Source organism: Homo sapiens, chromosome 19 (genome assembly GCF_000001405.40).
Source record: "Homo sapiens chromosome 19, GRCh38.p14 Primary Assembly".
In the NCBI taxonomy this organism is placed as follows: domain Eukaryota; kingdom Metazoa; phylum Chordata; class Mammalia; order Primates; family Hominidae; genus Homo; species Homo sapiens.
This window is the reverse complement of record NC_000019.10, coordinates 9,975,082-9,991,444: the sequence shown is the minus strand read 5'-3', so window position 1 is coordinate 9,991,444 and position 16,363 is coordinate 9,975,082. Positions and strand designations below refer to the sequence as shown.

Sequence of the window (16,363 nt, the reverse complement as noted above, 5' to 3'; positions counted from 1 at the left end):
TTGGTTGCAAGAAACAGAAACCCACCAAGGCTAGCTCACATAAGGGATATTGTCAGGATACAGAGAGCCCACAGAAGCCTGTCACAGAAGATATTACCAAGAGGCACAGGCCCTGTGGGTCTCATCTTTGTTCCCTGGCACATCTGCTTCCGCCTTCCCTGGCAGACACACTTCTTTCTGCACATATCTTTTTTTGGGGGGTGTGGACAGGGTCTCACTCTGTCGCCCAGGCTGGAGTGCAGTGGCTCAATAATGCCTCACTGCAGCCTTGACTTCCCCAGGCGAGGTGGTTCTCCCACCTCATCCACCCGAGTAGCTGGGACTATCAGCGCATGCCACTGTGCCTGGCTAATTTTTCTTTTCTTTTCTTATTTTCTTTTTTTGTAGAGATGGGGTCTGCCTGTGTTGCCCAGGCTGGTCTTGAACTCCTGGGCTCATGCAGTTCATCTGCCTTGGCCCCCCAAAATGCTGGGATTACAGGCGAGAGCCATCATGCCCGGCTGGGCATTTTTAAAGAAAGGGGTGTGGCTGTGAAGCTTCTATTTCAACATGTCTCTTGCACTGTTTTAATTTAATTTTATTGGTCAGGTGCGGTGGTTCACACCTGTAATCCTAGCACTTTGGGAGGCTGAGATGGGGGGATCACGAGGTCAGGAGATCGAGACCATCCTGGCTAACATGGTGAAACCCTGTCTCTACTAAAAATACCAAAAAATTAGCCGGGCGTGGTGGCGCGCGCCTGTAGTCCCAGCTACTCGGGAGGCTGAGTCAGGAGAATGGCATGAACCTGGGAGGCGGAGCTTGCAGTGAGCCGAGATCTTGCCACTGCACTCCAGCCTGGGCGACAGAGCGAGACTCCACCTCAAAAAAAAAATTAATTTTATTTATTATCTTTGTGGGTACATAGTAGGTATATACTTATGGAGTACATGAGATGTTTTGATACAGGCATGCGCATAAGAATCATGTCATGTAGTATCCATCCCCTCAAGTATTTATTCTTTGTGTTACAAACAATCCAGTTATACTATTTTAGTTTTTTTTTTTTTTTTGACAGAATTTCACTCTTGTTGTCCAGGCTGGAGTGCAATGGCATGATCTCAGCTCACTGCAACCTCCACCTCCCGGGTTCAAGTGATTCTGCCACCTCAGCCTCCCAGGTAGCTGGGATTACAGGTGCCCACCACTACGCCCAGCTAATTTTTGTATTTTCAGTAGAAACGGGGTTTCACTATGTTGGCCAGGCTGGTCTTGAACTCCTGACCTCAGGTGATCCACCCTCCTCGGCCTTCTAAAGTGCTGGGATTACAGGTATGAGCCACCACGCCCGGCCTCTTTTAGTTATTTTTAAATGTACAAGTAAATTATCACACAGAAGTGTGTCTGCCAGGGAAGGCGGGCACAGTGGCTCACGCCTGTAATCTCAGCACTTTGGGAGGCCGAGGTGGGTGGATCACTTGAGGTCAGGAGTTTGAGACCAGCCTGGCCAGCATAGTGAAACTCCATCTCTAATAAAATTACAAAAATTAGCCGGGTGCTGTAGTCCCAGCTACTGGAGAAGCTGAGGCAGGAGAATCACTTGAACCTGGGAAGAGGTTGCAGTGAGCTGAGATCATGCTACTGCACTCCAACCTGGGCGACATATAATTGACTATAGTTACCCTGTTGTGCTATCAATCTTGTACTGTTTTTATGTTCTTCCTTGCAACCTTCCCAGAGGCAGTGGATTTCTGAGGATCAGAGAGGGAAATGGGCTTGCCTGGGGTCACACAGCAAGTTTGGGCAGAGCTGGGATAGATTTCCTGGCCAGTGAGGTCTGCTTATTTCTTAACCTTGAGGCGGCTGCATGTCTGCGTAGATCCTAGTGGTGCTCCAGGGCTCTGAGCACCTCTGTCTCTCCCCTGCTGTTCATCTTCTTTCAGGGTCCCCCTGGAAACCCAGGAATTCCAGGCCTCCCAGGATCCGATGGCCCTCTGGTGAGAACCATGAGCTGGGAAAAGGAGGAAGGAGAAAGGGGAGCCTTGGGAATTGGAATGGCAAGTTTTGGTCTCTGACAACTGAGAATGTTTCTTCCCCAGGGTCACCCAGGACATGAGGGCCCCACGGGAGAGAAAGGGGCTCAGGTGAGTGACCAGGAGGTTAGGCTGGGTTGGGGACGAGGGTCGGGAGGCAGGGCCTGCAGTCAGGGGCCACAGAGGAGAGAGATGAGGGCTCTTAGAATGTGGAAGGGACTGTCTAGAATGGCACTGACCTTATTTTCCTCCCAGGGTCCACCAGGGTCGGCAGGCCCTCCGGGCTATCCTGGACCTCGGGGAGTGAAGGTAGGTGATACGCTTGCAGGTATGAGTGATTTACCAGCTTTGGGTTCAGGCATGCGATGCAGCTCCATCAGAAACTTCTGGATGTGTGGAGAGGGGAATCAGTTGGCCAGGCCAAATGTAGTGGGACTGGGGTTTGGAGCTGCACAGCCAAGGACAGCCTTACAGTGTGGTTGTCACCTTGTTGTTAGAACAGCTAAGCCCATTAGAGGCCAAACACATTTCTTTCTTTTCTCTTTTCCTTTTTCCTTTTCTTTTCTTTACTTTCTTTTTTTTTTTTTTTTTTTTTTTTTGAGACAGAGTCTCGCTTTGTCGCCCAGGCTGGAGTGCAGTGGAGCGATCTCCACTCACTGCAACCTCTGCCTCCTCCCGGATTCAAGCGATTCTACTGCCTCAGCTTCCTGAGTAGCTGGGACTGCAGGCATGCACCACCACTCCTGGGTAATTTTTGTATTTTTATTAGAGACAGGGTTTCACCATGTTGGCCAGGCTGGTCTCGAACTCCTGACCTCAGGTGATCCACCCTCCTTGGCTTCCCAAAGTGCTGGGATTACAGGCATGAGCCACTGTGCCTGGCCCGAGGGTTGTGTTCTAACCCAAGCTCAGAATCACATAAGCACAGTATGCTGGGTTAAGCCAAGAGCTGCAACCTGGCTAAATAGAGGTGCAGGGGCATTAGAGTTCATATCCATATGGAAGCTGAGTCCAGTGACATTGTAGCCAAATACAGATGTAATTTACCTGAACATGTGTGCATTAGACAAGCTTAGACACACTATAATCAAGGAATTGGCTATACTGTAGCAGGCACAGAGTCTGGCAAGCATCACCCTCAGAGTTACATTGTAGCCAAGCATAATTACATTTTTAATCTTTTTTTGTTTTTGTTTTTGAGACCTGGTTCTGCTCTTGTTGCCCAGGCTAGAGTGCAATGATGCCACCTGGGCTCACCGCAACCTCTGCCTCCCAGGTTCAAGCGATTCTCCCGCCTCAGCCTCTCGAGTAGTGGTATTACAGGCATGTGCCACCACGTCTGGCTAATTTTTGTATTTTTAATAGAGACAGGATTTCTCCATGTTGGTCAGGCTGGTCTTGAACGCCTGACCTCAGGTGATCCGGCCGCCTCGGCCTCTCAAAGTGCTGGGATTACAGGCATGAGCCACCACACCCGGCCCTAAATGTTTTATTTTTTAGAGACAGGGTCTTCTCTGTTGCCCAGGCTGGAATATAGCAGCATAATGATGGCTCACTGCAGCCTTGAACTCCCGTGCTCAAGTAATCCCCTCACTTTAGCCTCCTGAATAGCTAGGACTATAGGCGTATCCCACCAGGCTTGGCAGTTTTTTCATTTGATTATTATTATTATTATTCTTGAGACAGGGTCTCACTCTGTTACCCACGCTGGAGTGCAGTACCACCATCACAGTTCACTCACTGCAGCCTAGAGCTCCCAGGCTCAATCAATCCTCCCACCTCACCCTCCCAGGTAGCTGGGACTATAGGTGCACGTCACCACATCCGGCTACCTTTTTTCTTTTTTTTTTGTACTTTTTGTATAGATGAGGTTTTCCTGTGTTGCCCAGGCTGGTCTGGAACTCCTGGGCTCAAGCAATCCTCCAGCCTCTGCCTCCCAAAATGTTGGGATTACAGGTGTAAGCCACCATGCCCAGCCTTTAGAAACATTAACTGACCCCTATGTTGTAGTTGAGTCTAGTTACATTGTAGCCAACCCCTATGTTGTAGTTGAGTCTAGTTACATTGTAGCCAAAGCTAGAGAACAACTTGTAGCCAAGCTCAGTTACATTGTGATCAAGTGAATTTGTCTGTAGCTGGAGACTAACCACATGGGCTGTATTGTATCCAAGCGCAATTTCATTGTAGCCCGCTGAGCTCAGAGATGTTGTAGCCAAGTGCAGTTTTCAGAGTTTGGTGTGAGCAGCATCCAGACTTGAACTAAGCGCTCTCTCCATAGCCAAGCACAGAGGTCATCTTGTTGCCAAGCACAGAGTCGCCTTGTAGCTGGCACAATGGGGAACATTCCTTTGCCTTTAAAATGAGGTCCGGGCCTGGAATGTTCATCCTCTTTCTCCTGCCAGAAGGAACTGTGGACAAAGCGTCTCCAGGAGATGGGAATCGCTTACTTGGAAATTTGGCCTTCCCTGCACACCCCCGCACAGATGACCTTGAGAGGCCTCCAGTGGGGAGGGAGGGGCCTCTGGGGAAAGATCATTTCTTCTGAAGCTGCCCCTCCCAGCTTCTGCCTAGCCTCCTCTTGGGACTATCCTGGCTGCTTTAGAGCAGGGGACTGAGTCTGGGTCACTTCTTAAGCAGGGAAGAGGCTTGAGAGCTTTTTTTTTTTATTTTCCAGGGCACTTCAGGCAACCGGGGCCTCCAGGGGGAGAAAGGCGAGAAGGTGAGGAGAGAAGGAACTCATCAGAGGAGAGGGAGTCCCAATCATGGGGTCCTGGTTGTGTCCCTTCCCCGAGGCCCTCACTTCTGGCCTCTGTCTCTCCCACCCAGGGAGAGGACGGCTTCCCAGGCTTCAAGGGCGATGTGGGGCTCAAAGGTGATCAGGTAAGACCAGCTCCAGATGAGGGGTGGTGTGGGTCTGGGGGCTCGGGGAAGATAGGGAGGGGATGAGCTGGGGCTAGACAGAGCAGGAAGGACAAAAGATGGATATTAAATACTCTCCTTTTTCTTCCAGGGGAAACCCGGAGCTCCAGGTCCCCGGGGAGAGGATGGTCCTGAGGGGCCGAAGGGGCAGGCGGGGCAGGCTGGCGAGGAGGGGCCCCCAGGCTCAGCTGGGGAGAAGGTAAATGACTCTCCACCCTCTAGCCTCCCACAGTCAAGGTGTCCCCAATCTTTTCCCTCTGCCCTTTGCCCTTTTATTATACCTTCGACCTCAGGAGGTTGCTACCAACCTTGTCATCTTTAATTCCTCAGCTCAGCATTACAGAGCAATTTAATGCATGCAACTTATGTGTTCATATCCATAACCACCACATGCAATAGGCATTTTCATCCCATTTTACAGACAAGGAAAACTGAGACTTGGAATGGCTGAATGACCTGCCCAAGGACATGCCCCTAGCAGGCAGGAGCAAGGACTTGAACCTCGTTTCCCCAACTCCCATCCCATTAGCCCATTCACCATGCCCCAGCCAGCCTGACCTTTCCGCCTCTGACCTCCAGGTTGCAATTTCTGACCTTTGTCCCATAACCTTTCTGCAGGGCAAGCTTGGGGTGCCAGGCCTCCCAGGTTATCCAGGACGCCCTGGACCTAAGGTAGGAAGCTGGGGGTGGGGGGTGGAGATGGATATGGGCAGGATTCAGAGACTAACATCTGGGGGTCCAGGCTGTGGTCTTGGGGGATGAGCTGCCCACCCCAAGGGTCACTGAGAGAATGTAAAATGTGGGCTTTGGCCAGGCATAGTGGCTCTTGGCTATAATCCCAGCACCCTGAGAGGCTGAGGTGAGAGGATTGCTTGAGCCCAGGAGTTCGAGACCAGACTGGGCAACGTGGCAAAACGTGGTCCCTATGAAAACATACAAAAATTAGCCAGATGTGGCTGGGCGCAGTGGCTCATGGCTGTAATCCCAACACTTTGGGCGGCAGACGCAGGCGGATCACTTGAGGTCAGGAGTTAGAGACCAGCCTGGCCAACATGGAGAAACCCCATCTCTACTAAAAATACAAAATTAGCTGGGTGTGGTGGTGCATACCTGTGATCCTAGCCACTCGGGAGGCTGAGGCAGGAGAATCGCTTGAACCCAGGAGGCAGAGGTTGTGGTGAGCTGAGATTGCACCATTGCACTCCAGCCTGGGCAACAAGAACGAAACTCCATCTAAAAAAAAAAAAAAAATTAGCCAGATGTGGCCGGGGGCAGTGGCTCACACCTGTAATCCCAACGCTTTGGGAGGCAGAGGCAGGCGGATCACTTGAGGTCAGGAGTTTGAGACCAGCCTGGCCAACATGGTAAAACCCTGTCACTACCAAAAATACAAAAAAATTAGCTGGGCATAGTAGCATGCACCTGTAATCCCAGCTACCCAAGAGGCTGAGACAGGAGAATTGTTTGACCCCAGGAGGCAGAGGTTGCAGTGAGCCAAGATCTCACCACTGAACTCCAGCCTGGTGACAAAGCAAGATTCCATCTCAAAAAAAAAAAAAAAAAAAAAAAAATTAGCCAGATGTGGTCCCAGCTACTTGGGAGGCTGAGATGGGAGGATCACCTGAGCCCAAGGAGATTGAGCCTGCAGTGAGCTATGATCGAGCCACTGCACCCCAGCGTGGGTGACAGAGGGGGACTCTGTCTCAAAAATTTTTTTAAAAAGTGAGCTTTGACATCAGACAGACTTGGGGTCAAATGCCCTCTTACCCGCTATGTGATCTTGGGAAAGTTTCTTGAGCCTGTTTTCTCTGCGGTGAAACAGACATCCCAGTAATTTCCACCTCATCAATTTGATTATAATAATGTTGATAATGCTGATGATGACAATGATTATAAAACTGTAGGATCCTTTTATTTGGTGTGATTAAGTTTCATTCACCAACAAAGTCAGTTAAAGGGGAGAATCATAGAATCATAAAATACACATCTTACATATCTTGAATTAATTATAACTTATAGTCAAATGTACTTATGCAAAAACGTACTTATATGAAAACATAACATTTGTTTGCCAATGTTTTGATGGGTGAGGACACTGATGAGATTCATTTTTCTGCCTAAACTATTCCCATATTATATCACTGATGAGTTCTGTTTCTCTAGAGTAGAGCAGGAACCTAAAGACATTTGGGGCTGGGCGCAGTGGCTCATGGCTGTAATCCCAGCACTTTGGGAGGCCGAGGCGAGTGGATCACCTGAGGTCGAGAGTTCACCACCAGCCTGGCCAACATGGCAGAACCCCATCTCTACTAAAAATACAAGAATTAGCTGGGTGCAGTGGCGGGTGCCTGTAATCCCAGGTACATGGAGGCTGAGGCAGGAGAATTGCTTGAGCCCGGGAAGCAGAGGATGCAGTGAGCTGAGATCGTGCCACTTACTCCACCCTGGGCAACAGAGTGAGACTCTGTCTCAAAAGAAAAAAAAAATAGACATTTGGGAAGATAATTGAGTGCAGAATCCTCCTAGAGTTTCACATTTTTGTGCTGTTGAGCTGATAGTTATCTTGCCTACGTTGGATTTGACAGTGGTTTTTTTTTTTTATTTTTTCAGTGATTTCCCTTTACATTGACTCCTTTTCCTTTAACTTAGATTTTTTTTTCTTTTTAACGATTGAGAAAAAAACTTTGAAGCTTAGTTTTGATGGACAACTTTATTCTCCTTCCTTCCTTCCTCCTTTCTTCCTTCCTTCCTTTCTTCCCTCCCTCCCTCACTGCGTCCCCCTCTTTTTTCTTTTCTTTTCCTTCTTTTTTCTCTTTCTTTCCTTCTTTCTTTCTTCTTTTTTCTTTCTTTCTTTCTGTCTGTCTTTCTTTCTCTCTCTCTCTTCTTTCTTTCTTTCTCTCTCTCTCTCTTTCTCTTTCTTTCTTTCTTTCTTTCTTTCTTTCTTTCTTTCTTTCTTTCTTTCTTTCTTTCTTTCTTTCTTTCTTCTTTCTTTTTGCTTGCTTGCTTGCTTTCCTTTCAGACAGGGTGTCACTCTGTCATTCAGGCTGGAGTGCAATAGTGCGATCATAGCTTATTACAGCCCCCAATTCTTGGACTCAAGCAGTCCTCCTGCCTCAGCCTCCTGAGTAGCTGGGAACAACAGGTGCGCACCACCTGATGAATTTTTAAATTTTTTACAGAGACAGGGTCTCGCTATGCTGCCCAGGCTGATCTCAAACTCCCAGCTTCAAGTGATTCTCCTACCTTGGCCTCCCAAAGTGCTGGGATTACAAGCATAAGCCACTGTACCTGACATAGACTAAGATTTTAGAAAGTCCTTGTGTGCATGTGTTCAGGATCCTTGAAGAGTGTTGGGGCCAGGTTGGTGGCTCACACCTGTAATCTCAGCACTTTCAGAGGCTGAGGTAGGAGAATCACTAGAGGCCGGGAGTTCAAGACCAGCCTGGGCAACATAGTGAGACCCCATATCTACTAAAAATTTATTTCAAAAATTAGCTGGACATGGTGGCGTGAACCTGTAGTCCCAGCTATTCAGGAGGTTGAGGTAGGAGGATCACTTGAGCCCAAAAGGTTGAAGCTGCAGTGAGCTATGATTGCACCACTGCACTCCAGCCTGGGTGACAAAGTGAGACTCTGTCTCTTAAAAATAAAACAAACAAAAAAAGAGTATAGAGACCATGGAACCCCCAGATGGGAAGGGAGAGTAGAGGGAGCCTGAAATGGGCTTTGAGGCGGGATGCCACCACAGACTGTGTAACTTGGGCAACTGTCTTTTCTGATCTGAACTCAGTCTGCACAGTGAGGTGTGGGAGAGGATATCAGAGCCTGTGATGTCTTCCCCCAGGTGGAGGAAGGGTTCCTCCAGCATGGACTGGAGTCAGTTAACAAATATTAAAAAGCACTCACCGTGTGCCAGGCAGTGGGGAATAAGACCAATGAGCTATGTCACAGTGGGGGAAAACAGGCATTGAATAAATAAGTCAATAAGGGTCATTTCAACGCAAGTGTTCTTGGGAAAACAAAATAGCATAATGTGACAGACAGAGGGTGACTTGGGCAATGTGGAAGCCAGGATGGTGGTAGAAAGGCATTCTAAGGAGGTGACATCTGAATGAGATCTAAATGGTCAGGAGTGGCTGACTTTGTGGAGGCCTAGGAGACAAGCATTTCAGCCAAAGACAGCAGCCAGTGCAAAGGGCTGCAGTGAAATGAGAAGGGAGGAGAGGAGGGGAGAGGAGAGAAGAGGGCTGCCTTGTAGGAGGCTGGGGCTGTAGAGACCAAGGAAGCTTCTGGAATCAGTGACCTGGAAATGCCTCAAAGGATGGTATGAGGGGCCAATTCCACCCACCACTCACTCCTCACCCTCATGTCTTCTTTCTAATTCTCTCCACTCAGGGATCTATTGGATTTCCCGGTCCCCTGGGACCCATAGGAGAGAAAGGGAAGTCGGTGAGTCATGACCGGGGGTAAGGGAGAGGGGAGAACTTGTCTGAGGGGAACAGCATGTGTGGTTGTGTCTGATGATGGGTGGACCCTGGGTGTTTGTGTCTATGCCTGGAACATTTGTGTGCACACATGCTATTATATGCAATGCATGACACATGTAGGTGATTACACATGGTATTATCATGAATATGACTGTAAGCACATGTATATGTGTTTCATGTATCTTTCAATATCGATGAGACAGGGTTTGAATGCCGCAGCCTGCAGGCCTGTGCCTGGGTGAACAAGGGCATGAATCTGCGTGCACTTTGCATGATGGTGGGCATAAATGTGTGCAAGAAGCTTGTACATATGCGTGAAAGGACATGTGTATACACATGTGTGTGTTTCTGTGCACACTGAGTGATGGGTATACATGCATGTATTGTATTTGTGTTGCTATGTGTGTATTGTAACAGTGTTAATGAACATTGTATGTACGTACATGAGTGTATGTATACTGCTGTGCTTACCAAGACAAAGTCCTCAGCTGAATCCAGGCCTTCATGTGTTTACAGTGGGTATACATGTGTGCAAGAGATGTATTGCATGATGAGTTCTGTGTCATCTTCAGGCTGTGGATTGCCAAATGCATGCCATGATTACATGCAATCATGTATGCATACTGCACAGCTGTGATCAATATATGTCTTGTGGGCAAACATGCTTGCACGTTTGTACTCTGTAGATGCAATCATAGTTGTAATTGTGTGTTTGAGATCTTTGTGTGGTTTTGAGTATAAGTTGTATTTGTGTGTATGTGTATGACTGAAAAGCTTGTGAATAAATATGTGGCAGACAGCTTTCTGGGTCTGTGACTGGGTGTCTTTTTGTGTTTGCGTCATACCTTTGCACCCTAACTCTCTTCTGCTTTCTCTCTTACAATTCATTTTCAGGGAAAGACAGGGCAGCCAGGCCTGGAAGGAGAGCGGGGACCACCAGTAAGAAAATAGACAGTGCCCCCTACCCTGCTGGGACTTGGGGACAGGGCTGGGAAGGAAAGGTAGTGGAGAGGTCATCTGTGGGCAGGGAAAGGGTTTGGGTTATATCAATGTCCCTGGTCGGGCAGGAGAGGGAGTCACAAGGGGAGGGGACCTGGAAGACTTGGTCTCATCTCCCAGGCTCCCCCACCCCCTCATATCTGATCTTTGCCTTTTTTTTTTGTTCAGGGTTCCCGTGGAGAGAGGGGGCAACCGGGTGCCACAGGGCAACCAGGCCCCAAGGTATGGGATGGGTGGGCAATCAAGGCCCCCCATGCCCCAGGCTCAGCCAGTCCCTCCAAATTCTTCCCAGTTGAGTTTGTTCTGGGGCCTGAGTCTCATTCACTCTGTCCTAGGGCGATGTGGGCCAGGATGGAGCCCCTGGGATCCCTGGAGAAAAGGTGAGTGTGTGTGTGTGTGTGTGTGTGTGAATGTGTGTGTGTGTGAGAGAGAGAGATTCTGAGTGGAGGACAAACCCAAGAGATGAAGAGACATTATAATGCAGTGGTAAGAGCACAGCTTAATTGGGTGTGGTGGTGCACGCCTGTAGTCCCACCTATGCTGGAAGCTGAGATGAGAGAATTGCTTGAGCCCAGGAGTTGGAAGCTGAAGTGAGCTAATCACACCACTGCACTCCAGCTTGGGTGACAGAGCAAGACTCCATCTTTAAGAAAAGAAAAAAAGAAGGAGCACAGCCTGTGAAGTCAGAGAGCCATGAGTTCAAGTCCTGGCTCTGCCACTCACCTACTGTGTGACCTTGGGCAAGTCACTTAACCACTCTGTGCCTTAGTTTTCTCCTCTGTAAAATGGGAGTAACCTCAGTCTCCAACCCAAAGGGCTACAGTGGTGAATAAAATGACTGACTTGTGGAGAATGCCCTGCCCATGCCTGGCATGCAGTAAGCACTCAATATGTGCTCGATCCTGTTGTCATTATGTGGGGCTCAGGGAGTGGGCAGGGAGGCAGGGGGGATGAGATCATGATTTCTGTTTCCATTTCAGGGCCTCCCTGGTCTGCAAGGCCCTCCAGGATTCCCTGGGCCAAAGGGCCCCCCTGTGAGTGAGGTCACCCTCATTGGGGGTTGGGTGGGTGGAGGATGTGGGAAGGGAGGAAGCCCTGTATCTGTGCCCCAACTTTTTCCCACCTCATCCCCCAGGGTCACCAAGGTAAAGATGGGCGACCAGGGCACCCTGGACAGAGAGGAGAACTGGTGAGTAACCCCTCAACCTTTGATTCCTGATCCTTTTTTTTTTTTTTCTTTTTGAGACAGAGTCTCACTCTGTCACCTGGGCTAGAGTGCAGTGGGGCAATCTCGGCTCACTGCAACCTTTGCCTCCCAGGTTCAAGCAATTCTCCTGCCTCAGCCTCCCGAGTGGCACTACAGGCGCGTGCCACCACGCCCGGCTAATTTTTGTATTTTTAGTAGAGACGGGGCTTCATCATGTTGACCAGGCTGCTCTCAAACTCCTGGCTTCAAGTGACCCACCTGCCTCTGCCTCCCAAAGTGCTGGGATTACAGGCGTGAGCCACCGGACCGGCCAGATTCCTGATCCTATCAGGCCTTCCCTGTCTCCTGCTCCTCCATCCCTTCCCCATGTAACACCGCCCCCACATTTAATTTTTCTCTCTAGGGCTTCCAAGGTCAGACAGGCCCGCCTGGACCAGCTGGTGTCTTAGGCCCTCAGGTCAGAGTGGACTCCATAAACCTCCCTTGTTTTGTACCAGTTGGGGGATATTTAGGGGAAAGCTGGACTCCTGAGCGACTCCCCTAGGCCACCCCCACTCAACAGGAGCCTTCTTCCTCACCAGGGAAAGACAGGAGAAGTGGGACCTCTAGGTGAAAGGGGGCCTCCAGGCCCCCCTGGACCTCCTGGTGAACAAGGTCTTCCTGGCCTGGAAGGCAGAGAGGGGGCCAAGGTGAGACACTGTCCACTGGAGATCTTGGTTGAACATCCAAGATCAACCAAGGACTCAGAATCAGTCTCATGGGGGAGGGGGCCCTGAGTCACAGATTGGAGGGAGACATCCCCTCCCTGGAGCTTGACTTCCCTCCTTTGCACTCCTGTAGGGGGAACTGGGACCACCAGGACCCCTTGGGAAAGAAGGGCCAGCTGGACTCAGGGGCTTTCCCGGCCCCAAAGGGGGCCCTGGGGACCCGGTGAGTATCTTTGGAGACCCTCCTGCATGTCCCTTAGAGAAGGAAAGGATGGGGGGGTCAGGGGAGGGATGGGGAATAGCATTTGGGGTGCGGGAAATGATGAAAGCAAAAAAAATGGTGGAGGGAACTGGGGAAGGCAGACCCCTCAAAGCTCAGTGTCCAGTCCCAGGAGAGAGGTGGGGACTGTGAGCTCCCCACAGAGGAAGACAGGACCTGGGGACACCTTTGGGAGTCTCTTAACTGTGAATTATCTCCTCCTTCAGGGACCTACTGGCTTAAAGGGTGATAAGGGCCCCCCAGGGCCCGTGGGGGCCAATGTAAGTATAACCCCATGTGCTGGGTGGGGGCAGGGTGGAGGGGACTCAAGGTGTCTTGGAAGCTTGACATTGTCATGATAAAACCCATGATGGAGGCTGAGGCAGGCAGATCACTTGAGGTCAGGAGTTCAAGATCAGCCTGGCCAACATGGTGGAACCCCGTCTCTACTAAAAATACAAAAATTAGCCAGGCATGGAGGCAGATGCCTGTAATCCCAGCTACTCTAGAGGCTGAGGCAGGAGAATCGCTTGAACCTGGGAGGTGGAGGTTGCAATGAGCCAAGGTCAGTTCTGTTGCTCACTGGCTGGGCCGTTGTATTCCTTGGCAAGCCTCAGTTTCCTTGTCTGTAAAATAGCCATGATGGGAAGCCTTATCTCATGTATGATCACAAACCTCATTGAGATCATTTATCCAGTAAATACTTACCTGTGCATTGGCCATCAACATATAAAAACCCCTTTTCTTGGGCCAGGTGTAGTTGCTCATGCCTATAATCCCAGCTCTTTGGGAGGCTGAGGCTGGAGAATCGCTTGAGCCCAGGAGTTTGAGACCAGCCTGGGCAACATAGCCAGGTCCTGTCTCTACAAATATATATATATATATATATATATATATATATATATATGTATAGGCTGCCAGGAGGACTATGGCTTTTGTTCTAAGTGAGATGGGAGCCATGGAGTGTTCTTGAGCAGGAGAAGAATATGCCCTGCCCCTCAGGTGCTCACAGGCACCCTCTGGCTGCTGCAGGAGGGGAACAGGTTAGATACAATCCTGGTAACCTCAGAACTCAGTGCCTGGTGGCTTAAAAACCCTCCATAAAGGACAGCTACTACTGGTATTATACCTGATTCATCACCCCTGTTCTCAGGGCTCCCCTGGTGAGCGCGGTCCTTTGGGCCCAGCAGGAGGCATTGGACTTCCTGGCCAAAGTGGCAGCGAAGGCCCCGTTGGCCCTGCAGGCAAGAAGGGGTCCCGGGTAAGTGACTTGCCCATCCCATTCCTAGGGCCTCCTCAGGGTCTGGCCCTGCCACATCCCAGGACATGGCTCCTGCAGGACATTCCTGCCCTGACATCCCCCTTTCCATTCCCCACAACAGGGAGAACGTGGCCCCCCTGGCCCCACTGGCAAAGATGGGATCCCAGGGCCCCTGGGGCCTCTGGGACCCCCTGGAGCTGCTGGGCCTTCTGGCGAGGAAGGGGACAAGGTGAGGGGTTCACAGAGAGGAAGGGTCCAGGGGAGGATGGGGGTGAATGGAAGCTGGGTCCTTCATCCCATTTCCTCTGCAGGGGGATGTGGGTGCCCCCGGACACAAGGGGAGTAAAGGCGATAAAGGAGACGCGGTGAGTGAAGGTCCCCAGTGGGGCAGGGTGGGGTGGGTAGCGGAAGAAAGAGGAGGCCAGGGATGTAGAGATCATTCTCCATGGGGTAGGAGAGGCCATGGAGTTTTCTGCCTTCTCGGGTACCATCTTGACAATTACATGCAACAGAAGGTACTTGAGCTGCCTGGAGCGATGGGTCCACAGAACCCAACTGCAGACAGGATAGGGACAGCTGGGGCTCCCAAAGAACTGGAAAGGCACTGGGGTGCGGGTAACCTTCTCCATTGTTAGTGACACATCCTTCCCTCTGCCTGTGACTCTGCGTGGCAGGCACTGAAGCATCTGATACCCAACTTCCCCCCACCCCGAATGTCAGCTCCAGTGGCTTGCATCATTGAGCCAGCTTCGTCCCTGGGTCTTGGTGGAACTTGTGGCCAGGGCTGGGCTTAGGACAGACGTCTGTCTGATCCCATCTGTTGGTGGCTGAGAAGACAGGATTTGGGGGGATGTAGCTGTTGCTGCCTGGTAGGGGAAGTTGTTCTCATAAAGGGGGTGTGGGAGGCAGTGATTGATAGCTCCAGTGCCCTCTCTAATCTTAAACCTGAGGGAATTTTTGATTCTGTTTCCTGTTCTCCCAGGGCCCACCTGGACAACCAGGGATACGGGGTCCTGCAGGACACCCAGGTCCCCCGGTGAGTGCCCCCATCTTTTCAGTCCTTCTCTGGGTCCTTGAAGGGAGGGATAGTGGGAGCAAACGACAGTGGAAGCACACTGACTTAATCCAAACCTCAAACCCAACCCTGATCTTCCCTCAGTACTGACACCCAATGTGAACTCAATCCAAGAATCGGAGTCAATCCCAACCCAACCATGTTGTCCCCTCAATACCGACACTCAATATGAACTCACCCTCAGAATCTGATTCAATCCCAACCCAACCATGTCTTCCCCTCAGTACAAACACCCAGTATGAACCCAATCCCAAATTCGGAGTCAACCCCAACCCAATCATGTCTTCTTCTCAATACCAACATCCAATGTGAACTCAACCCCAGAATTTGGCCCAATCTCAACCCAACTATGTCTTCCCCTCAATGCCAACACCCAATGTGAACTCAACCCCAGAATTTGGCTCAATCCCAGTCGAACCATGTCTTCCCCTCAATGCTGACACCCAATGTGAACTCAACCCCAGAATCTGATTCAATCCCAACCCAACCATGTCTTCCCCTCAATACCGACACCCAATATGAACTCACCCCCAGAATCTGATTCAATCCCGACCCAACCGTGTCTTCCCCTCAATGCCAACACCCAATGGGAACTCAACCCCAGAATCTGGCCCAATCCCAACCCAACCATGTATTTCCCTCAATACCGACACCCAATATGAACTCAACCCTAGAATTTGTCTCAATCCCAATCCAACCATGTCTTCCCCTCAATGCTGACACCCAATGTGAACTCAACCCCAGAATCTGATTCAATCCCAACCCAACCATGTGTTCCCCCTCAATACCAGCACCCAATGTGAACTCAACTCCAGAATCCTGCCCAGTCCCAACCCAACCATGTCTTTCCCTCAATACCAAAATCCAATATGAACTCACCCCCAGAATTTGGCTCAATCTCAACTCCAACCATGTCTTCCCCTCAATGCCAACATCCAATATGGACTCAACCCCAGAATCTGGTTCAATCTCAACCTCATGCTCAACTTTGATCTGCCCCTCTATATCGATGTCCAATATACACTCAACCTTAAAATCAGACTAAATTCCAACCTAAACCCAGCTCTGAACCCCCACTTCAGCCCCAGTCTCAACTCTACTCATGACCTTAACCTCAGTTCTACTCAAACCTTATCTCCAGCCAGGTGCGGTGGCTCATGCCTGTAATCCTAGTACTTTGGGAGGCCAAGGCGGGTGGATCACCTGAGGTCAGGAGTTCAATATCAGCCTGGCCAAAATGGTGAAACCCCATCTCTACTAAAAATACAAAAAAAAAATTTGCTGGGCATGGTGGCGGGCCCCTGTAATCCCAGCTACTTGGGAGGCTGTGCCAGGAGAATTGCTTGAACCCAGGAGGCAGAGGTTGCAGTGAGCCAAGATAGCACCACTGCACTCCAGCCTGTGCGATAGAGGGAGACTCCGTCTCAAAAGAGGGAA

General features: G+C 50.2%; 1 protein-coding gene across 3 annotated transcripts in view; it reads left to right on the top strand.

Moving 5' to 3' along the window:
• Nucleotides 1-16,363, top strand: part of COL5A3 (collagen type V alpha 3 chain) — a 50,944-nt gene that overhangs the window by 19,060 nt on the left and 15,521 nt on the right. For 2 of the 3 annotated variants that reach the window (XM_011528042.3, NM_015719.4), the window contains exons 25-45: nucleotides 1,923-1,976; nucleotides 2,079-2,123; nucleotides 2,268-2,321; nucleotides 4,687-4,731; nucleotides 4,839-4,892; nucleotides 5,023-5,130; nucleotides 5,550-5,603; nucleotides 9,327-9,380; nucleotides 10,313-10,357; nucleotides 10,586-10,639; nucleotides 10,753-10,797; nucleotides 11,398-11,451; nucleotides 11,553-11,606; nucleotides 12,028-12,081; nucleotides 12,206-12,313; nucleotides 12,465-12,554; nucleotides 12,818-12,871; nucleotides 13,744-13,851; nucleotides 13,973-14,080; nucleotides 14,163-14,216; nucleotides 14,834-14,887. In XM_011528042.3, the coding sequence (XP_011526344.1) occupies nucleotides 1,923-1,976; nucleotides 2,079-2,123; nucleotides 2,268-2,321; nucleotides 4,687-4,731; nucleotides 4,839-4,892; nucleotides 5,023-5,130; nucleotides 5,550-5,603; nucleotides 9,327-9,380; nucleotides 10,313-10,357; nucleotides 10,586-10,639; nucleotides 10,753-10,797; nucleotides 11,398-11,451; nucleotides 11,553-11,606; nucleotides 12,028-12,081; nucleotides 12,206-12,313; nucleotides 12,465-12,554; nucleotides 12,818-12,871; nucleotides 13,744-13,851; nucleotides 13,973-14,080; nucleotides 14,163-14,216; nucleotides 14,834-14,887 (1,350 nt within the window). Of the gene's footprint in view, nucleotides 1-1,922; nucleotides 1,977-2,078; nucleotides 2,124-2,267; nucleotides 2,322-4,686; nucleotides 4,732-4,838; nucleotides 4,893-5,022; nucleotides 5,131-5,549; nucleotides 5,604-9,326; nucleotides 9,381-10,312; nucleotides 10,358-10,585; nucleotides 10,640-10,752; nucleotides 10,798-11,397; nucleotides 11,452-11,552; nucleotides 11,607-12,027; nucleotides 12,082-12,205; nucleotides 12,314-12,464; nucleotides 12,555-12,817; nucleotides 12,872-13,743; nucleotides 13,852-13,972; nucleotides 14,081-14,162; nucleotides 14,217-14,833; nucleotides 14,888-16,363 lie in introns of those variants that run through there. The other variant, XM_017026849.2, reaches the window with a different exon arrangement.